This window comes from Homo sapiens, chromosome 19, assembly GCF_000001405.40.
Source record: "Homo sapiens chromosome 19, GRCh38.p14 Primary Assembly".
NCBI lineage: Eukaryota > Metazoa > Chordata > Mammalia > Primates > Hominidae > Homo > Homo sapiens.
In genome coordinates, this window is record NC_000019.10 from 60,681 (window position 1) to 83,310 (window position 22,630).

Consider the following 22,630-nt stretch of genomic DNA (forward strand, 5'->3'; position numbering starts at 1 on the left):
ATGCTTTAAGGCACATCACCCCACTCATGCTTTTCCATGTTCTTTGGCCGCAGCAAGGCCGCTCTCACTGCAAAGTTAACTCTGATGCGTGTGTAACACGACATCCTCCTCCCAGTCGCCCCTGTAGCTCCCCTACCTCCAAGAGCCCAGCCCTTGCCCACAGGGCCATACTCCACGTGCAGAGCAGCCTCAGCACTCACCGGGCACGAGCGAGCCTGTGTGGTGCGCAGGGATGAGAAGGCAGAGGCGCGACTGGGGTTCATGAGGAAGGGCAGGAGGAGGGTGTGGGATGGTGGAGGGGTTTGAGAAGGCAGAGGCGCGACTGGGGTTCATGAGGAAAGGGAGGGGGAGGATGTGGGATGGTGGAGGGGCTGCAGACTCTGGGCTAGGGAAAGCTGGGATGTCTCTAAAGGTTGGAATGAATGGCCTAGAATCCGACCCAATAAGCCAAAGCCACTTCCACCAACGTTAGAAGGCCTTGGCCCCCAGAGAGCCAATTTCACAATCCAGAAGTCCCCGTGCCCTAAAGGGTCTGCCCTGATTACTCCTGGCTCCTTGTGTGCAGGGGGCTCAGGCATGGCAGGGCTGGGAGTACCAGCAGGCACTCAAGCGACTTAAGTGTTCCATGACAGACTGGTATGAAGGTGGCCACAATTCAGAAAGAAAAAAGAAGAGCACCATCTCCTTCCAGTGAGGAAGCGGGGCCACCACCCAGCGTGTGCTCCATCTTTTCTGGCTGGGGAGAGGCCTTCATCTGCTGTAAAGGGTCCTCCAGCACAAGCTGTCTTAATTGACCCTAGTTCCCAGGGCAGCCTCGTTCTGCCTTGGGTGCTGACACGACCTTCGGTAGGTGCATAAGCTCTGCATTCGAGGTCCACAGGGGCAGTGGGAGGGAACTGAGACTGGGGAGGGACAAAGGCTGCTCTGTCCTGGTGCTCCCACAAAGGAGAAGGGCTGATCACTCAAAGTTGCGAACACCAAGCTCAACAATGAGCCCTGGAAAATTTCTGGAATGGATTATTAAACAGAGAGTCTGTAAGCACTTAGAAAAGGCCACGGTGAGTCCCAGGGGCCAGCACTGCTCGAAATGTACAGCATTTCTCTTTGTAACAGGATTATTAGCCTGCTGTGCCCGGGGAAAACATGCACCACAGCGCATCTCGAGTCAGCAGGATTTTGACGGCTTCTAACAAAATCTTGTAGACAAGATGGAGCTATGGGGGTTGGAGGAGAGAACATATAGGAAAAATCAGAGCCAAATGAACCACAGCCCCAAAGGGCACAGTTGAACAATGGACTGATTCCAGCCTTGCACGGAGGGATCTGGCAGAGTCCATCCAGTTCATTCAACACCTGGTTAGAAAACTGGGGCCAGCACACAGGGGAAGGGTAAGCTGGTTTCATGATCGAATCAAGGCTCAGACAATTTTTAAAGGCCAGAGGGTAGACTGCAATCACCAAGATGAAATTTACAAGGAACAAATGTGAAGCCCAACATTTAGGTTTTAAAAATCAAGCGTATAAATACAGAAGGTGGAGGGAACTTGCTTTAGACACAGTTCAGGTGAAGAAAGACCTGGAAACTTCTGTTAACTATAAGCTCAGTAGGGGCTAAAAGCATGTTAATCGGCATAAAAAGGCAATGAGATCTTAGGGCACACAGCTCCCCGCCCCTCTTCTGCCCTTCATCCTTCTTTCAATCAGCAGGGACCGTGCACTCTCTTGGAGCCACCACAGAAAACAGAGGTGCATCCAGCACCACAGAAAACAGAGCCACCACAGAAAACAGAGGGTGACTGTCATCCCCTCCAGTCTCTGCACACTCCCAGCTGCAGCAGAGCAGGAGGAGAGAGCACAGCCTGCAATGCTAATTTGCCAGGAGCTCACCTGCCTGCGTCACTGGGCACAGACGCCAGTGAGGCCAGAGGCCGGGCTGTGCTGGGGCCTGAGCCGGGTGGTGGGGAGAGAGTCTCTCCCCTGCCCCTGTCTCTTCCGTGCAGGAGGAGCATGTTTAAGGGGACGGGTTCAAAGCTGGTCACATCCCCACCGAAAAAGCCCATGGACAACGAAAAGCCCACTAGCTTGTCCAGTGCCACAGGAGGGGCAAGTGGAGGAGGAGAGGTGGCGGTGCTCCCCACTCCACTGCCAGTCGTCACTGGCTCTCCCTTCCCTTCATCCTCGTTCCCTATCTGTCACCATTTCCTGTCGTCGTTTCCTCTGAATGTCTCACCCTGCCCTCCCTGCTTGCAAGTCCCCTGTCTGTAGCCTCACCCCTGTCGTATCCTGACTACAATAACAGCTTCTGGGTGTCCCTGGCATCCACTCTCTCTCCCTTCTTGTCCCTTCTGTGACGGATGCCTGAGGAACCTTCCCCAAACTCTTCTGTCCCATCCCTGCCCTGCTCAAAATCCAATCACAGCTCCCTAACACGCCTGAATCAACTTGAAGTCCTGTCTTGAGTAATCCGTGGGCCCTAACTCACTCATCCCAACTCTTCACTCACTGCCCTGCCCCACACCCTGCCAGGGAGCCTCCCGTGGCACCGTGGGGACACAAAGGAACCAGGGCAAAGCTCCCTCAGCCCCATTCAAAGAGGCCTGGCCCACAGGCTCACGGAAAGTTAGCCTCTCATGCCCCGAGAGCTGAGTGCAAGGGAGAGGCAGCGCTGTCTGTGCTTCCCATGCAGAAGCACCCCCCTCCCACCCCTGTGCAGGCCGGCCTTCGCGGCAGACCACCATACACCACGTTCCAAGCCACACTGAGGCCTCCCTCCAAGCCTGCAGCCCCCATTTCCAGACCCTGCCAGGGCAACCTGCATATCCACCTCCCTACCCTGCCCCCCTCTTCCAGGAGTCTGCCCTATGTGGAGTAAGCACGTGGTTTTCCTCTTCAGCAACTATTTCCTTTTTACTCAAGCAATGGCCCCATTTCCCTTGGGGAATCCATCTCTCTCGCAGGCTTAGTCCCAGAGCTTCAGGTGGGGCTGCCCACAGAGCTCCTCAGTCTAAGCCAAGTGGTGTGTCATAGTCCCCTGGCCCCATTAATGGATTCTGGGATAGACATGAGGACCAAGCCAGGTGGGATGAGTGAGTGTGGCTTCTGGAGGAAGTGGGGACACAGGACAGCATTCTTTCCTGCTGGACCTGACCCTGTGTCATGTCACCTTGCTACCACGAGAGCATGGCCTGTCTGGGAATGCAGCCAGACCCAAAGAAGCAAACTGACATGGAAGGAAAGCAAAACCAGGCCCTGAGGACATCATTTTAGCCCTTACTCCGAAGGCTGCTCTACTGATTGGTTAATTTTTGCTTAGCTTGGTCTGGGGAGTTCTGACAGGCGTGCCACCAATTCTTACCGATTTCTCTCCACTCTAGACCCTGAGAAGCCCACGCGGTTCATGCTAGCAATTAACAATCAATCTCGCCCTATGTGTTCCCATTCCAGCCTCTAGGACACAGTGGCAGCCACATAATTGGTATCTCTTAAGGTCCAGCACGAGGTGGAGCACATGGTGGAGAGACAGATGCAGTGACCTGGAACCCAGGAGTGAGGGAGCCAGGACTCAGGCCCAAGGCTCCTGAGAGGCATCTGGCCCTCCCTGCGCTGTGCCAGCAGCTTGGAGAACCCACACTCAATGAACGCAGCACTCCACTACCCAGGAAATGCCTTCCTGCCCTCTCCTCATCCCATCCCTGGGCAGGGGACATGCAACTGTCTACAAGGTGCCAAGTACCAGGACAGGAAAGGAAAGACGCCAAAAATCCAGCGCTGCCCTCAGAGAAGGGCAACCACGCAGTCCCCATCTTGGCAAGGAAACACAATTTCCGAGGGAATGGTTTTGGCCTCCATTCTAAGTGCTGGACATGGGGTGGCCATAATCTGGAGCTGATGGCTCTTAAAGACCTGCATCCTCTTCCCTAGGTGTCCCTCGGGCACATTTAGCACAAAGATAAGCACAAAAGGTGCATCCAGCACTTTGTTACTATTGGTGGCAGGTTTATGAATGGCAACCAAAGGCAGTGTACGGGTCAAGATTATCAACAGGGAAGAGATAGCATTTCCTGAAGGCTTCCTAAGTGCCAGGCACTGTTCCATTCCTTTGCATGTTTTGATTAATTTAATATTTAAAATAATTCTACCAGGAAGCTACCATTATTACCACAACTTCACAAATGAGAACACCGAGGCTTAGAGGGGTTGGGTTGCCCAAGGTTACAGAGGAAGAAAACAGGGGAGCTGGATCTGAGCCAAGGCATCAACTCCAAGGTAACCCCTCAGTCACTTCACTGTGTGTCCCCTGGTTACTGGGACATTCTTGACAAACTCGGGGCAAGCCGGTGAGTCAGTGGGGGAGGACTTTCAGGAAGAGGTGGGTTCCCAGTTGGTGACAGAAGAGGAGGCTGCAAAGTGAAGGAGCAGGGGCTCCAGGTCTGGCGACAACCAGGGAAGGGACAGGGCAGGGATGGCTTGGACCACGAGAGGCACCTGAGTCAGGCAGTCACATACTTCCCACTGGGGTCTACCATGTGAGGCATGGTGTGGGATCCTGGGAAGGAGACCAAGCCTCATTTCAGTTTGCTTATGGCCAAAGACAGGACCTGTGTACCCGACAACCCCTGGGACCTTTACCAAAAAAAGAGCAAACACCATTCACTCACTCATGTTAGATAAACACTGAGTGAAGTCACTGGAGCCCAAGGACTGTGCGAGGTCAGCACTGCCAATACAAGAAGCTGCAGCCCTCCAGCTCGCCTCCCTCAATGGCCACTCCGTGCTCCAGCCATGCTGGCTTCCTTTTAGGTCCTCCACCTCCAGGCTGTAGTTCATGTGCTTCTTTCTGGAATGTTCTTCCCAACCTACCCACTCAACCCTCAGACTTTACCATAAATGTCATTTCCTCACGTCTGCCTTCCCTGACCTGAGACCAAGCCAGGCTTCCCATGACGAGCCTCACAGTACCCCATCTCCCCTGAACAGATGCAGTAATAACCTACATAACCCGGGGCCATGATCTATGGCTTTGAATCCTGGCTCTGTCACTAGGCCAGGTCTCTCAGCCCTTCTGTGCCTCAGTTTCCTCATCTATAAAATGAGATGACGGCAGTGCCTGCTCATGAAGTGTGAGTTAATGCACTCAAATCAATGGTTGTGCACGGTTTATATGAATATTAGTGATTACAAAATATTATCAATAGACCTTGTCACAACTGTTATTGAAGAACTAATCATCTATTGCTTATTTAGGTCTTTCTCTCCTGCCAGAATGTGCGCTCCAGGTGGAGAGGTATGTTGCCTTATCCGTGGCTGGATATATAGAGATTCCCACACTGCCTTGCACACGAGCACTGCTGGGTAAATATTTGTTGGCTGCAGGAAAACGTGAAGGAATAGGCCCTCCAATGGGAGGAAAAGCATGAGTTGTGAGAGCAGAGCCACCACAGGAAACCAGGAGGCTAAGTGGGGTGGAAGGGAGTGAGCTCTTGGACTCCCAGGAGTAAAAGCTTCCAAGTTGGGCTCTCACTTCAGCCCCTCCCACACAGGGAAGCCAGATGGGTTCCCCAGGACCGGGATTCCCCAAGGGGGCTGCTCCCAGAGGGTGTGTTGCTGGGATTGCCCAGGACAGGGATGGCCCTCTCATCAGGTGGGGGTGAGTGGCAGCACCCACCTGCTGAAGATGTCTCCAGAGACCTTCTGCAGGTACTGCAGGGCATCCGCCATCTGCTGGACGGCCTCCTCTCGCCGCAGGTCTGGCTGGATGAAGGGCACGGCATAGGTCTGACCTGCCAGGGAGTGCTGCATCCTCACAGGAGTCATGGTGCCTGTGGGTCGGAGCCGGAGCGTCAGAGCCACCCACGACCACCGGCACGCCCCCACCACAGGGCAGCGTGGTGTTGAGACAACACAGCCCTCATCCCAACTATGCACATAGCTTCAGCCTGCACAGATAGGGGAGTAGGGGACAGAGCATTTGCTGAGAGGCCAGGAGCGCATAGATGGGACTCTGCTGATGCCTGCTGAGTGAATGAGGGAAAGGGCAGGGCCCGGGACTGGGGAATCTGTAGGGTCAATGGAGGAGTTCAGAGAAGGTGCAACATTTCTGACCCCCTACAAGGTGCTTGCTACCTGCCAGGCACCCTTTCCATACCTTGTCTCAGTTCAGCTCCCCACCTTGGATAAACAAGAAACCTTGGTTGCAGAGGAAAAAAGAGGCTGGAAACAAAGGGGTAGAAATGGGGTAGCAGGGGAGATTGCCTGATCAACTGCCAAATGGTACACAGTTCTGGAAAAGCACAAAAAATGTGCACACACGGGTTCTTCCCACTTTAACCCCTGAGGAATCTGAGGCCTGCTCCTGAAACAGACTGGGCAGTGGCTAGTGACTCTAGGTATAGGAGTATCCAGCCCTGCTCACCCAGGCTAGAGCTTAGGGGGACAAGAGGAAAGAGGTGCCTGTGGGGGTGGAGGACAGGAAGGAAAAACACTCCTGGAATTGCAAAGTGAGGGCAGAGTCTATTTATATTGGGTTTAATTAACTCCTCTCCCTGGTGCCACTAAAGCAGCAATCACACTGCAGACAGCACTGATTTGATTGGCAAGAGATGCACCAGGCAGAATATTAAGGGACCAGGCCCCTATAAATAGGCCTAATCACAGCCCCTCACTGGAAAATGGTAAGGAAGACATTAATCAGGCCTGGCACTGTGCCCTAGACCTGCTCCCCTAGGCACTACAGTGGGGCCCTTGGTTGCAACACAAGTAGGTAGGGATGGATGAGTGTGGCATGAAGGGCCTAGGAGATTTCACTTGGGTTTAAAATGCTGTGACCTTGAGTAAGTTGCCGTCTCTGAATCTGATCCTTTCGATTTCCCATTCTCCAAACTGAGAACTAGCACTGCTGAGACGTGGTTATTTCCAATAATAATTTGTATATTTTACATAACGCACCACACCAACATCTTCACCCAGTTGGAGCCTACTCCTTTGCTCCCGCTGCTGGCTTCCCCAGCCCTCCCTTCTGCCCTCCTCAGGCCAGCACTTTTCAGTGAGTTCCTCCTTTGCATACAGGCTTTCCAGATCTGTACTTGCCTTGAATACTCATCAGAGCCCAGGAGTTACTCCTCACCTCCCACTTATTTTTCCTCCCATCAAATAACTAAAGCATGGCCAGCTGATGCCCAGCCAACTGAGAAACCCAACCCTCTGAGACCAGCACACCCCTTTCAAGCATGTTCCTCCCTCCCCTTCTTTGTATTTATACTGATGCAAGTTTGCTGGCTGTCCTAACTTATTTCTGTGCCTCAGTTCTCCCATATGTAAGATCACAAAGGGGGTAAAGATGCAAGATATTTCCTGTGCACATCTTCAGATGAATTTCTTGTTAGTGTGTGTGTGTTTGCTCACACATATGCGTGAAAGAAGAGTACATACACAGATCTCCTCAAAAAGGAGGCAGCAAGCCCGTTCAAGAATGGGACTGAATACACCTGATGAGTGGTTTACTTTCTGTCTGCAAACATCTACTGATCATCTGTTAGGTGCAGGCCATGATCACAACAAAGACGAATAAGACACTACACTAGCCAGGGAGAGTCTCAAAAACAACTAAACTCAAATTAAATTCATTCTACTCCAGTCATGGGTACAAAGCTAAGGAGTGACAAATCCCTCTTGGAGTTAGGGGAGTCAGGAAAAAGCTCTTAGCAGAATGTGTGCCTCTCGGCCGGGCGCAGCGGCTCACGCCTGTAATCCCAGCACTTTGGGAGGCGAAGGCAGGCAGATCACCTGAGGTCGGGAGTTCGAGACCAGTCTGACCAACATGGTGAAACTCCATCTCTACTAAAAATACAAAATTAGCCAGGCGTGGTGGTGCATGCCTGTAATCCCCGCTACTCGGGAGGCTGAGGAAGGAGAATCACTTGAACCGGGAAGGTGGAGGTTGCAGTGTGCCAAGATCGCGCCATGGCACTCCAGCCTAGGCAACGAGGGTGAACCAGGTCCAGGAAGAAGGTGCAAAGACAGCATTCCAGGTAAAAGAAACAGCTTGAACAAAAAGTGTGTAGGGGAACCGCAAGCGGTCTTGAGTGCTGAGGGTACAATCATCCTTGGGGAAGTACTAGAAGAAAGAATGATAAACAGAGGCCAGTTTGTTAAAAACACTCAAAATTAAAGCTAGGAGTTTGGACTTGTGGCAGGAATGAAATCCTTAGACCTGTGCTGTCCAATATGGTAGCCACCAGGCACATGCAGCCACTGAGCACTTGAAATGTGGATAGTCTGAATTGAGATGTGCCATAAGTGTAAAATATGCACCAAATTTCAAAGGCTAGAAAAAAAGAATGTAAAATATCTTATTATTTTATATTGATTACGTGCTAAAATAACCATATTTGGGATATACTGGATTTTAAAAATATATCACTAATTTCATCTGTTTCTTTTTACTTTTAGAAATCACATATGTGACTTAAATATTTCTTTTCTTTTTCTTTCCTCTCACTCAGCGTCCTGTGATTCCAAAGAAATGAGTCTCTGCTGTTTTTGGGCAGCAGATATCCTAGAATGGACTCTGACCTAAGCATCAAAATTAATCATCATAACGTTATCATTTTATGGCCCCTTCTTCCTATATCTGGTAGCTTTTAAATGATGACCATGTAGATAATCTTTATTGTCCCTCTTTCAGCAGACGGTATTTTCTTATGCTACAGTATGACTGCTAATAATACCTACACATGTTAGAACCATTCTGACTCCTCAAGAATCTCATTTAACTCTTATTATCAGTGAATTTATCATCATCCCCTATTTTACATAAGGAAATGGGGTTAGAAAGACCAAATAACATTTTTTCAACATCAAAACACTAGCTTGAGATCAAGCCCAGACTTGGATCTGTCGTCTGAATTCCAAGCTTTTTGTTATTTATTGATATGTTTTGTTGTTTTCATGCAATAATGCAAATCTTAGCCCAAACATTTTGTTAGTAGTACCAACTGTAAGTCACCTTATCTTCATACTTTGTCTTTATGTAAACCTAAATTAGATCTGTTTTTGATACTGAGGGAAAAACAAGGGAATCTAACACTAACCAGCCCGTAGTGTGTGGTCAACACTTTCGTTACTTTAGTATACATCACCCCAATTGTTTGTCTTCACCACACACTTTGGAGTTAGGTAGTAGTATCTATTTTTACAAATAAGAAAACCCAGGCACAAAGGGGTTGATTAGCAATTATCTTTTGAAAAGCCTGTAGTTGCTCATCTGAAGAAGTGACGGACCACCTCTTATTTAGTGGACAGACAGTAACTAGTTGAGAAGACAGGGGATTTTGTTGGCGGAAAAAAAAATTTATCAAAAGTCGTCTTCTATCAGGGAGTTTTATGAGAAACCCTAGCTCCTCAGTTCCACAGTGGGTAACTGTAATTCATTCTAGGTCTGCGATATTTCCTGCCTATCCATTTTGTTAACTCTTCAATGCATTCCACAAATACCTAAGTATTCTTTAATAATGGTGGGTTTTTTTTTTTTTTGCATCTATGAAGTTTTTTCAAATTCTTTTTAAGTGACAAAACTTGTACATGTGTATCGCTCAATATTTCTAGTCGACAGCACTGCTTTCGAGAATGTAAACCGTGCACTCCCAGGAAAATGCAGACACAGCACGCCTCTTTGGGACCGCGGTTTATACTTTCGAAGTGCTCGGAGCCCTTCCTCCAGACCGTTCTCCCACACCCCGCTCCAGGGTCTCTCCCGGAGTTACAAGCCTCGCTGTAGGCCCCGGGAACCCAACGCGGTGTCAGAGAAGTGGGGTCCCCTACGAGGGACCAGGAGCTCCGGGCGGGCAGCAGCTGCGGAAGAGCCGCGCGAGGCTTCCCAGAACCCGGCAGGGGCGGGAAGACGCAGGAGTGGGGAGGCGGAACCGGGACCCCGCAGAGCCCGGGTCCCTGCGCCCCACAAGCCTTGGCTTCCCTGCTAGGGCCGGGCAAGGCCGGGTGCAGGGCGCGGCTCCAGGGAGGAAGCTCCGGGGCGAGCCCAAGACGCCTCCCGGGCGGTCGGGGCCCAGCGGCGGCGTTCGCAGTGGAGCCGGGCACCGGGCAGCGGCCGCGGAACACCAGCTTGGCGCAGGCTTCTCGGTCAGGAACGGTCCCGGGCCTCCCGCCCGCCTCCCTCCAGCCCCTCCGGGTCCCCTACTTCGCCCCGCCAGGCCCCCACGACCCTACTTCCCGCGGCCCCGGACGCCTCCTACCTGCGAGCCGCCCTCCCGGAAGCTCCCGCCGCCGCTTCCGCTCTGCCGGAGCCGCTGGGTCCTAGCCCCGCCGCCCCCAGTCCGCCCGCGCCTCCGGGTCCTAACGCCGCCGCTCGCCCTCCGCTGCGCCCTCCCCGAGCGCGGCTCCAGGACCCCGTCGACCCGGAGCGCTGTCCTGTCGGGCCGAGTCGCGGGCCTGGGCACGGAACTCACGCTCACTCCGAGCTCCCGACGTGCACACGGCTCCCATGCGTTGTCTTCCGAGCGTCAGGCCGCCCCTACCCGTGCTTTCTGCTCTGCAGACCCTCTTCCTAGACCTCCGTCCTTTGTCCCATCGCTGCCTTCCCCTCAAGCTCAGGGCCAAGCTGTCCGCCAACCTCGGCTCCTCCGGGCAGCCCTCGCCCGGGGTGCGCCCCGGGGCAGGACCCCCAGCCCACGCCCAGGGCCCGCCCCTGCCCTCCAGCCCTACGCCTTGACCCGCTTTCCTGCGTCTCTCAGCCTACCTGACCTTGTCTTTACCTCTGTGGGCAGCTCCCTTGTGATCTGCTTAGTTCCCACCCCCCTTTAAGAATTCAATAGAGAAGCCAGACGCAAAACTACAGATATCGTATGAGTCCAGTTTTGTGAAGTGCCTAGAATAGTCAAAATTCACAGAGACAGAAGCAGTGGTCGCCAGGAATGGGGAAGCAAGGCGGAGTTGGGCAGCTCGTGTTCAATGGGTAGAGTTTCAGGCTGGGGTGATGGAAGGGTGCTGGAAATGAGTGGTAGTGATGGCGGCACAACAGTGTGAATCTACTTAATCCCACTGAACTGTATGCTGAAAAATGGTTTAGACGGTGAATTTTAGGTTATGTATGTTTTACCACAATTTTTAAAAAGCTAGTGAAAAGCTGGTAAAAAGAAAGAAAAGAGGCTTTTTTAAAAAGTTAAATATATAAAAAGAGCATCATCAGTCCAAAGTCCAGCAGTTGTCCCTCCTGGAATCCGTTGGCTTGCCTCCGGCATTTTTGGCCCTTGCCTTTTAGGGTTGCCAGATTAAAAGACAGGATGCCCAGCTAGTTTGAATTTTAGATAAACAACGAATAATTTCGTAGCATAAATATGTCCCAAGCTTAGTTTGGGACATACTTATGCTAAAAAACATTATTGGTTGTTTATCTGAGATTCAGAATTAAGCATTTTATATTTTATTTGCTGCCTCTGGCCACCCTACTCTCTTCCTAACACTCTCTCCCTCTCCCAGTTTTGTCCGCCTTCCCTGCCTCCTCTTCTGGGGGAGTTAGATCGAGTTGTAACAAGAACATGCCACTGTCTCGCTGGCTGCAGCGTGTGGTCCCCTTACCAGAGGTAAAGAAGAGATGGATCTCCACTCATGTTGTAGACAGAATGTTTATGTCCTCTCCAAATGCTTATGTTGAAACCCTAACCCCTAATGTGATGGTATGTGGAGATGGGCCTTTGGTAGGTAATTACGGTTAGATGAGGTCATGGGGTGGGGCCCTCATTATAGATCTGGTAAGAAAAGAGAGCATTGTCTCTGTGTCTCCCTCTCTCTCTCTCTCTCTCTCTCTCTCATTTCTCTCTATCTCATTTCTCTCTCTCTCTCTATCTCATTTTTCTCTCTCTCTCTTTCTCTCCTCTGTCTTTTCCCACCAAGTGAGGATGCGAAGAGAAGGTGGCTGTCTGCAAACCAGGAAGAGAGCCCTCACCGGGAACCCGTCCAGCTGCCACCTTGAACTTGGACTTCCAAGCCTCCAGAACTGTGAGGGATAAATGTATGATTTTAAAGTCGCCCAGTGTGTGGTATTTTGTTTTGACTAATACAACCTGAAAACATTTTTCCCTCACTCCACCTGAGCAATATCTGAGTGGCTTAAGGTACTCAGGACACAACAAAGGAGAAATGTCCCATGCACAAGGTGCACCCATGCCTGGGTAAAGCAGCCTGGCACAGAGGGAAGCACACAGGCTCAGGGCTCTGCTATTCATTCTTTGTGTGACCCTGGGCAAGCCATGAATGGAGCTTCAGTCACCCCATTTGTAATGGGATTTAATTGTGCTTGCCCTGCCTCCTTTTGAGGGCTGTAGAGAAAAGATGTCAAAGTATTTTGTAATCTGGCTGGGCGTGGTGGCTCATGCCTGTAATCCTAGCACTTTGGTAGGCTGACGCGAGAGGACTGCTTGAGCCCAAGAGTTTGAGATCAGCCTGGGCAATATTGTGAGATTCCATCTCTACAAAAATAAAATAAAATAGCCAGTCATGGTGTCACACACCTGTAGTCCCAGCTACATGGGAGGCTGAGGCGGGAGGATCACTTGAGCTTGGGAGATCGAGGCTGCAGTGAGCTATGATTGTACCACTGCACTCCAGGCTGGGCGACAGAGAGAGACCCTGTCTCAGAAAAAAAAAAAAAAGTACTTTGTAATCTGTAAGGTTTATTTCAACACACACAAAAAAAGTGTATATGCTCCACGATGCCTGTGAATATACACACACACCACATCATATACCAAGCCTGGCTGTGTCTTCTCACAAATGCACTGCTAGGCACCACCCCCAGTTCTAGAATCACACCAGCCAGTTCACCCTCCAGATGGTTCACCCTCAACTTCATAAAAGTTCCCTACCTAATCTACTGACAGGCTCATCCCCGACCTAATTTTAAAGATTTCCTAGGAGCTGCAGTGGGAATCCTGGACCTCAGCCTGGACAAAGAACAGCTGCAGGTCATTCTCATGTGTGGACACAGAAGCTCTGCCTGCCTTTGCTGGCCAGCTGGGCTGAGCGGGCCTGGGAATTAAGGCTGCAGGGTTGGTCCCAGGCAGTCTTGCTGAAGCTTGCCACATCCCCCAGCCTCCTGGATTTGCCAGGATCCAAGAGCATGGACTTTAGGAATTCCTGGTGGAGGAGTGAAGAAAATGTGACAGGGTGTCCTAAGCCCCGATCTACAGGAAGAAAACTGGAAATAAGACTGAGGACTTAGTTTAAGATGTTCCTACTCAGCCTCTAGCTTTTGTGCTACAGTTCTGGGAACAGACTCCTCTCTCCTGAAAACCACTTCCCTCCGCAGCATTAGATTTCACCAAGATGTCTTGCTTGTGGGAAAGACTTCCAAGGATGCCTGGAGAGAGGAGGATGGAAATGTCCTGCTCTCTAAACAGATAGACAGATGCAGCCAGACAGAAAATAGTTTATCTTGCTGAGGTTTCTAATGTATTTGAAAGAGGCCTGGGTCTAGAAGTCTACCCAGAGGGCTCTGTGTTGTGCACGCAAAGATAAGAACCTTCCCTGTGGGAGTTCCAGAGCCAGTTTTCATAAACACCCATCGGTGACTGTGTTCAGAGTGAGTTCACACCATCCTGACCTGCCCTGAGTTAGACCTTACATGGTCTTCCTCCTCTAGGAAGCCTCTGCAGCCCAGGAACCTCCCCTTATCGGAAATGAACAGCATTTGAAGCTTCACCAGACAGACCAGACAGCTTAGCCCTCGTGTTGTGCCATGTGGGTTGTTCTCTGAGAGGCAGGAGAGCATAGTGGTTACTAGGAAGGGAAGGACTTTGGGACTAGACTGCCTCGGCTGGAGTCCTCTTTCTGCTTCATAGCCACGTGATCCTAGGCATGTTACCTGTGCCTCAGTTTTCACTCTGTCAATATGTAATAACTGAATCTGTCTTTGTGGTGAGGATTCAGTGAGTTAACATATTTGAAGTGCTTAAAAATGAGGCTTGTGTCCATAGATTAATGAGTGAATACACAAATGGTGATATGGACATACAGTGGAGTATTAGTCATAAAAAGGAAGGCAGAGCTGATCCATGGCACCATGTGACAGAACCTCAAAAGCATTAGGTTAAGTGGAAGAAGCCAGACACAGGTCACCTATTGTGTAATTCCATTTATAGGAAATATACAGAATATGTAAATCCGTGGAGAAAGAAAGCCGATTTCCAGGGGCTAAGGGGAGGGGAGAATGGGAAGTGGCTGCTTCATGGGTACAAGGTTTCATTTTGAGCTGATGAAAATGTTTTGGAACTACATAGAGATAGTGTTGGCACAACATGGTGAATGTACTGAATGCCACTGATTGTTCACTTTAAAATGGTCAAACTTATATGAATTTCACCTCCATTAAAAAAAAAAAAAAAGGACCAGATGTGGTTGCTCACACCCATAATCCCAACACTTTGGAAAAAGGTGAAAGTTTTTTTTTCTTTTTTTTTTTATATACTTAAGTTCTAGGGTACATGTGCATAATGTGCAGGTTGGATACATAGATATGCGTGTGCCATGTTGGTTTGCTGCACCCATCAACTTGTCATTTACATTAGGTATTTCTTCTAATGCTATCCCTCCCCCAGCCCCCCACCCACTGACAGGCCCCAGTGTATGATGTTCTCTGCCCCATGTCCAAGCGTTCTCATTGTTCAATTCCCACCTGTGAGTGAGAACATGCAGTGTTTGGTTTTCTGTCTTTGTGATAGTTTGCTCAGAATGATGGTTTCCAGCTTCATCCATGTCCCTGCAAAGGACATGAACTCATCCTTTTTAATGGCTGCATAGTATCCCATGGTATATATGTGCCACATTCTCTTAATCCAGTCTGTCATTGATGGACATTTGGGTTGGTTCAAAGTCTTTGCTATTGTGAATACTGCCACAATAAACATACATGTGCATGTGTCTTTATAGTAGCACGATTTATAATCCTTTGGGTATATACCCTAAGACCTGGGACGCATTTAAAGCAGTGTGTAAAGAGACATTTATAGCACTAAATGCCCACAAGAGACCTCTGCCTGAGAACGTGGGTTTCAGCCTAAGAGTTGTAATATGTGTGCCCATTCACAGGTGCTGCATCAGAGTCCCAGGTGGGAAGAAGGCAAGCATACACAAAAATGGTAAAAGGCAGAAAGGAGCCCAGTCTCGTTCTTTTTAAGAAGTTTTCCTAAGAATCTCCACCCAGCGACTTGCTCTCACATCTTCTTGGCCAGCACTGGACCACACAACTCCTTCTAGATACAGAGGAGTCCTAGGATTCTATGAGAAAGAAGGGGAGGGTGGGCAAAGGGCAGCCAGCTGTGCAGCATCTGCTGGAGACACCTAACCCTTGGTGGAGGGGTTGTGGTGCTGGGAGAAGGCTTTCTGGACGGTGTGACAGCAGAGATAAACTTAAAGGCCAAGTAGGAGTTACCCTGGTGAAGCAGGGCAGGGTTACAAGCATTCCAGCAACATGAAGCAGCAGGAGTGTTTTAATTAAAAGAAGGCAGTTGCTGTAACCAACTATAAACAAATAAAGGCTTAAACACAATGGAAGTTTATTTCTCACTAAGGGAACATCCAAATCCATGATACTTTAAGTCAGGGACCCAGGTTCCTCCCATCTATGGTTCTGCCATCACTAATCTGGGTCTTCCACAATTGCCGTGCTCCTTGGAGGTGGGAAGAGCAGGCGGAGGACACGTGGGAGGTTTTAGGGACAAGCCTGGAGGCAGCATGCGTCACTCCCATGCAGAGTCCATTGGCCAATGCTGGCTCCGATGGCCACATCTCACTGCAGGGGCAGCTGGGAAATACAGTCTGGCTGTCTACCCAGGAGGAAGAGCAGCCAGTTTCTGCTGCTGATGATCAGGAGGTGGAGAAAATGTTCAGTCAGGCAGGGAGTGGGAATAGACAAGACCACAAGCAGCTTGGTGCCTCTGAAAGGGAGAGGGGTGGAGGGGAGACTAGAGAGGTGGGTAGGAATACTGGATTCCACTGACCACGTGCTGGATGTCACGCTTAGCCCTCCTGCTCTGTGCCGGGTTAGGCACCTGGTGTTTTACGTACATAATCTCAATTCTGTGAGGGCATCCGACCTGTGGGAAAAGAGCTGTTTGTTTCAAATGCCAGTCCTGCTTCCTAACAAGTGTTTAGAGCTTAATCGTGTTCAAAATACATATACAATGTTTAATACTTACAAGAATTTGGTGGGGAAAATATTACCATCTTTCCCTTTTGTGATTGGAGAAAAATGAGGCTTTGAAGGGTTTAAGAACTTGCCCAAGGTCGGCCAGGTGCAGTGGCTCATGTCTATAATCCCAACACTTTGGGAGGCTGAGGTGGGAGGATCGCTTGAGGCCAGGAGTTCAAGACCAGCCTGAGCAACATAGTGAGACTTTGTCTCTATAAAAAATAAATAAATAAATAAAAACAACTTGTCCAAGGTCAGACAGGCAGCCTCTTAGTAAGCACACATATCCTCTATATTATACTACCTCTCATGGAGGATCTCCTGTGTTCTACAAATAGTCTGGACTTGAGCCAGAATGTGTTATAATCCTGGGATCACGGCCAGTGGGCTTAGAAGAAGCCATCTCTTTCTCATGCCAAGATGAGGCTCCCCCAGATTTGCTCAGACTTACCTATAGTCAGCAGCATCGGGGGTCAGGAAAGACTTCACGAAGCCATAAATGCATCCTTCTCGGGGCAGCACCTGGCTCTCCCAGGTGAGAGAGGACTCCATTTTCACAGGCAGGCGTGGGAGCTTCAGCACCCATCTCTGGGCCCAGAATGACCCACTGGAGACCTTACAGCTCTCCTGTCACCCCCAATTCCTGCCCCCTCTGCAGCCTTGGAGGAGAATGGAGCTGAAGGGCCTGCCCTCTGTAGGGTGAGAAAGGGAGGCTAAAGCCTGGTGCCCACTGCCCTGGCTGCTCCGCATTGCAGGAGCTGCGCCCTTCCTTTCCTGGCACAGGGTCCACAGCCCCGAAACCCCGTTGTGTGGGAGCTGGGCACAGGGCAGCAGGACTAATCCTTGGAACAGCTCAGGGAGGATTATCCCAGCCACTGTCAGCAGCGGTGCAGCTGGCTCATTCCCATATAGGGGGAGGCCAGAGCCAGGGGCCTGCCACAAGTTGGAAGGCTGGGGAAGGGGAGGCCAGCAGAGGTGTCCTGGCTGTGGGTGGCTCTGAGGGGGCTCTCAGGGGTGGGGCTAAATCTCAGGGGCAGGATTATGTAAATCAAACCAATTCTAGCCACAGATTTAAAGTTTGGAAAAAAAAAAAAACCCAGCCTGGCGGAAAGAATTTAAATTATAAAAACTTAGAAGTATGGAATGTGAAATCATCCTGTAGGTGCTTATTTAACAACGAAATCATCCCGACACAATGAGCCATATGTGAAAAGTCATCCTTCCCCAACACATCCCCCAACAGGCACTCCTCAAGCCTCTCCCACCCAAGTGCTGGCATCCTCCCTGTCCTGCTTCACCTGAGACACCCCTTGTCTCATTAGACATGCAACTACGGGAGGGGTGACAGGAAGACAAGACACTATTTCCTCAGGCCCAGTTTGGTGTGGGGAGAAAGCCTCCTGATCCTGAAAGCAAGAATTTGACCAGAGCAGAAGTAATCAGTATGCAGATTGATTCTGTGGTATGTTAATGTTTATGCATAGATTATGAGGACCAGGTGAAAAGTGGGCCAGGGGAGCCAGATGTGTGTGTGAGTCATGGGTGGCTGAGATGAGGACAGGAGGGAAACTGGTTTGGAGGGTGCTGGCGATGGGGTGGGGGTGCCAGGAGGAAGGGAGGCTAGTTGTTTGAATGTCTGCATGAAAAAGCGGACGACAGCGGGGTCTGGGTGAATTCGGGCAACCATTTGGACCGTGGAGAAAACTGCCTGCGTGCGGCTGAGGACCTGCACTATTAATTTGTTTTTTAGCTAAGGCAAAGATAAATATAAAAACTGATACTCCACCCAGTTACCAGAAAACATTTAGGTATGTGTGAGACAACTTGGGTATGTGAACCTACCTTTTCAATGTAAATTCAGTGAAATCTAAGTGCAGATCCCATATTTCCAATAAAAAGGTAACATCCAAACTCAGATGTCCTATGAGTATAAAATACACAAAGATCTTCTGGACTTAGTATGAAAAGGGATTTTTTTTTTGTCAGGTACCTCACTAGTTATTTTTAAAATAGGATTGCATGTTGAAATGATAATCTTTTGGATATATTGGGTTAAATAAATTTATTATTAAAGTTAATTTCACTTAAAAATGTTTAATGTAGCTACTAGAAATTTTAAAATTAAGCATGTTGCTCACCTTATGTTTCTATTGGACGGCTCTCTCTAGATACAAAGGCTGCCAAGAGGGACCTCACTCTAGCTTCAGGGAGAAGAGAGGAATTAGCAAGGCCAAGCAGAGGCTCCTGAGGGCAGGGCCAAGGGCGGCTTGGTGGGGTGGGGATGGGATGCACAGAGATAACTCCAACCCTTAAGAAGGTGTTTCCTAGAGCAGGCTGTGACCTGTCAGTTTATATACTGAGGCTTAGGAGCCTCTTGGATGCCCCCAGATCTGCACCCCTGAATTGCCCTGTGCCCCTGCCGTCTTTGTTCCTGTGCTGGCATAGTGGTCTCACCTCCGGCAGTATCACCACCACTGGGCACAAGCTTCTCCAGCACAGCAACTGTGTCTTATTTCTCCTTGTACTCCCAGTGTTCACACCATGCTGCACTCACAGAAGACTCTTCGTTGATATTTTGTGGACAGAGAGAATGCCTGTGAGAGTGGGCTGAAGTGTGCGTTGGGCTCCAGAGACCTTAAGGAGGGGAGACCAGGTCCTGAGTAAAGTTGAAGGGGAGGGGCTGAGTCCTGCTAGCCAGGAGTCTCATCCCCTGGGGAAGTTCCAGGGACCCCTCAGAAGTGCAAGGGGACGGTGTTAGTGTTAGTCCAGTAACACAGCCCAGAGCCTGCCTTCCACGTGGGTTTGACAGGAGCCTCCTAACTGCTCTTCTGCTTCCATTTTTGCCCCTTCAGTCTATTCTCAACAGGGAAGCCAGAGGCATCCTTAACCATGTCAGATCATGTGGCTCCTCAGCTCAAAGCCTCATCTCAGAGGAAAGCTCTGGTCCCTTAGAAATGGCCCAGGTGGTGACAGACAGACTCTAAGGTGAGCAGACTGTTGCTAGATATCTGGGCTCGGAGGACTCGCCACTGCTCAAAGGCAGTGAGGATTTTCGCACTAGAAGCTGGAGGACAGGGATCCTTGTTAGGTAGGAGCAGAAAGCTTAGAAAAGTGGTCTCCTGCAGTTACGTGGCAAACACATCATGTAAGTGATAAATTGGGTATGCAGTTGAGGAGATTTCCAAGTAAAATGTTGAGGATGCTGCCTGGTTTCTTCTTACTGCTTATAATATAGTGTGAGAGAAGAGAGATAAATTGAGAAAGAGACTGGTTTTTAAACTGTTAAAATTGAATCAGGACTTGATGATTTTGAAAATTGTCAGTCTCCCCACATGGAAAAAGATGCTGAAATTAACAAATGGCTTCTGAGCATGTGGCATAGGGTGTAACTGTACAGTCTTTTGTGATTATGCATAAAGATCAAAGGATGGGAGTAGCAATGAGTCACACAGAGGTCTGTTGCAAGAGATTACAAGGGTGTACCATGCAGAACCTCTCCACCAAACCTTAGGGCCCTTGGGAAGCTTCAGTGAGTTACCCTGGGGGCCATCTTGGCAGGAGCTGAAGGTAGAAAGGTAGAGTTTATCTCTAAAAGATTCATGGGTATGGCTCTTGACAAATCGACTATGAGCCCCACTGAAACCCACAGAGGACAGGCAAAGGGTTTGGGAAAGCTGTTTCACCCACAGTGCTGGCAGATTGGTCTGTAGGGGACAGAGTGCAAAATGAAAGAAGACTGTCAGAGACCCCAAACTCTGCTGTCAAGAAGAAGGCTGATAAAACTACTTGGCTGCAAACACGTGGATCTTTCGTGAGAAAAGAAGGATGACCCAGAGGCAGAAGCCCAGAAGGCAGAGCCAAGAGACATGGAATCTTCCCACATCTTAAAACCTGTTTAGGGAACACCAGCGTCTGTCCAGCTGGATTTCAGAACCACCATTCCTTCATCCCTCCCCTGCTGCCTCTTTCTGAACAGCAATGTCTCAAGCTTTACCCACCATTGTGTGTTGCATATGTAGGGGGCAGATAGCTTGTATCTTTAGTTTTCCAGATCAGAGGAACATCCAAAGAAATCTGTTCTACACCTAAACCCGATTTAGATGAGATTCGGGACTGTGAGCATGAAGGGATCTCAAGAGGGGTGAATGTGTTTTGCATGCACAAGGGACAGGAGTCTTGGGGACAGAGGACAGGCTGTGGTGGCAGATACTAAGGTGACCCCCACAACCCCCACCTCTGCCATTCACACCCTTGAATAATCCCCTTCTCTGGTTGTAAGCAGAACCTGTGGCTTGCTTATGAAGGAGGCGGTATATATGTGATTCATGTACTGATCATATTGTATAAGATCACTGGCTGGATGCAGTGGCTCGTGCCTGTAATCCCAACACTTTGGGAGGCTGAGGCGGGTGGATCACCTGAGGTCAGGAGTTCGAGACCAGGCTGGCCAACATGGCAAAACCCCGCCTCTACTAAAAATACAAAAATTAGCCAGGCATAGTGGTGCACGCCTGTAATCACAGCTACTCAAGAGGCTGAAGCAGGAGAATTGCTTGAACTCAGGAGGTGGAGGTGGCAGTGAGCCAAGATCGTGCCACTGCACTCCAGCCTCAGTGACAGAGCGAGACTCTGTCTCAAAAAATAAATAAATAAAATGTTAAGATCATAACCTGTCTTTCTGGGGACTCTCTCTTGACGCCTTTGAAGAAGCAGGCTGCCATGTTGCAAGCTGCCTCATGGAGGGGATCAGCTGCGAGGAGCTAAGAGCCCCCTCCAGTCGATGCTCACCAGGAAGCTGAGGTCTTGTGTCCAGCACCCTGCATGGAACTGAATGCTGCCATGTGAGCTTGGAAGCAGAGCCATCCACACAGCTGAGCCCTAGATGAGAACCCAGTGCTGGCTGACACCCTGATGGCACCTTACAGAGGACCAGTTAGGCTGTGCCAACTCCTGACCTGCAGAAGCTGGGGAACATTGGGTCGTATTTGCAGCTGCTGGATTTGTGGGAATTTGTCACACAGCAATTGGGAGTCACACAGCCTGTGACGCCCCAACAATCCACACCTCCTGCATCTCCCTGCCTTCACTTCCTAGCACACTGCCCTGACTCCCTCTGCCGCAGCCACGCTGGCCCTCTGCTGTTCTTCGAAGCCACCAGGGCTGCATTGGCTCCCAGCCTTTGCTCTCACTGCTTTCTCCTCCTAGAGAGCCCTTCCTGCATGTATATGTTTGACTCACTCCCTTGCCTCCTTCAGACTTGTACTTAAAAATCTCAGTAAGCATTTCCCTGGCTACCCTTTTAAAAATTGCAACCCACTTCCATCCCCATCCCCAACATGCCATATTTCCTTTCTTCTTCTTCCTTCTTCCTTTTTTTTTTTTTTTTTTTTTGACACAGGTTCTCTGTCACCCAGCCTGGAGTGCAGTGACATGATCTCGGCTCACTGCAACCTCTGCCTCCCCAGGCAAGAAAAGGGGAGGATGCCAATAAAGGATGCATTGATTTGTATTTACTACAGTGGACATCAAGGGCACATTCTTGCTGTGGCCATCAAGAGACTGTATAAATTCTATGACTTGTAGTTGTCCCACTTAAGAAACAAAGAAGCTGTGCATTTCTTTACTGGTCTAGAGCTGCTCTAGGGCATTTTCTCTACAGCAATTCTAGGTTTCCCCACCTTGTGAGTTTAGCTTTTTCTATATTCAAAGAAAAGTCCTCAGCCAGAGATTCTCAGGAGCTTATAGAACAATCCAAACTCTTGGGAATATTAAGTGGAGAGGGGTACGTGCAAGACACCAACAGCACTAGAAACAGTCCACATCTTTCCATGCGTGGAGGAGTTTATGCTCTATGTGAGTTCACTCCATCATTAATTCTTCAAACACAAGAGTGTTAAAGGAACAAGAGTTAATGGGTCCTGTCATTACACTTGTTCCCAGGATGACATTCTTCATCTTCCTCTTCTACAACCTGTTCTATATTCCCCTCATGTTTATCCAGTGCTTCTGCTAGTCTAGTTCACTTCCAAAGACCCATGATTACCATGGCCCTGTCAGGCTGTAATTGCTGCAATTTCCAATTTACAATTGTCATCATCTATGGTTGATAAAGGTATAGCAATATTTCTATTTCCTCATGATAATGAAGGTCAATTACAACTGCCAGTATAATAACTTATTTCTTTGTCTGCCAACCTACATACACAAGGAAGCCAAAATGACAGGGAGCTACTAAAACTTTATTCTTATTGGAATGCTTACTATGTACCCAGAAGAAGCATTCTCCCTACTCCAGCAGAGCTTAATGCTGTAGGTCCAGGAAGCTCAAATTCTCCAAGGGAGTTTTAGTGAGAGGAGCCACTCTCACCCTCTGCCCTTGGTTTACAAACCTGTATATTCTAGGACCCAATATCTTACAATGTCCATTGGTTC

At 49.5% G+C, this 22,630-nt stretch overlaps 2 long non-coding RNA genes, 1 other non-coding gene and 1 pseudogene across 4 annotated transcripts, besides 2 other annotated features; 2 read left to right on the top strand and 2 right to left on the bottom strand.

Annotated features, from left to right (window-relative positions):
* Positions 1-270: 270 nt before the first annotated feature.
* WASH5P (WASP family homolog 5, pseudogene) lies at positions 271-10,286 on the bottom strand (annotated as a pseudogene). Its single transcript, NR_033266.1, has 3 exons — positions 10,248-10,286; positions 5,666-5,819; positions 271-1,214 (listed from the first exon to the last, which is right to left on the bottom strand). The product of NR_033266.1 is annotated as a WASP family homolog 5, pseudogene (transcript).
* Positions 2,077-2,696: an enhancer, noted in NCBI's record as "H3K27ac-H3K4me1 hESC enhancer chr19:62757-63376 (GRCh37/hg19 assembly coordinates)". NCBI's record gives its function as "activates a minimal SCP1, AML or CMV promoter by ChIP-STARR-seq in naive H9 embryonic stem cells {active_cell/tissue: H9 hESC(naive)}" and the evidence as "EXISTENCE:reporter gene assay evidence [ECO:0000049][PMID:30033119]".
* Positions 10,287-10,700: 414 nt separating the features above from the next.
* On the top strand, positions 10,701-16,346 carry LOC105376912 (uncharacterized). Its single transcript, XR_007067058.1, has 3 exons — positions 10,701-11,594; positions 11,905-12,022; positions 15,097-16,346. It is a non-coding gene; the product is annotated as an uncharacterized LOC105376912 (long non-coding RNA).
* MIR1302-11 (microRNA 1302-11) lies at positions 11,293-11,430 on the top strand. The gene has a single exon (NR_036268.1). It is a non-coding gene; the product is annotated as a microRNA 1302-11 (primary transcript).
* Positions 15,540-17,010, bottom strand: FAM138F (family with sequence similarity 138 member F). The gene is made up of 3 exons (NR_026820.1): positions 16,650-17,010; positions 16,206-16,410; positions 15,540-16,103 (listed from the first exon to the last, which is right to left on the bottom strand). It is a non-coding gene; the product is annotated as a family with sequence similarity 138 member F (long non-coding RNA).
* Positions 21,197-21,698: an enhancer, noted in NCBI's record as "H3K27ac-H3K4me1 hESC enhancer chr19:81877-82378 (GRCh37/hg19 assembly coordinates)". NCBI's record gives its function as "activates a minimal SCP1, AML or CMV promoter by ChIP-STARR-seq in naive H9 embryonic stem cells {active_cell/tissue: H9 hESC(naive)}" and the evidence as "EXISTENCE:reporter gene assay evidence [ECO:0000049][PMID:30033119]".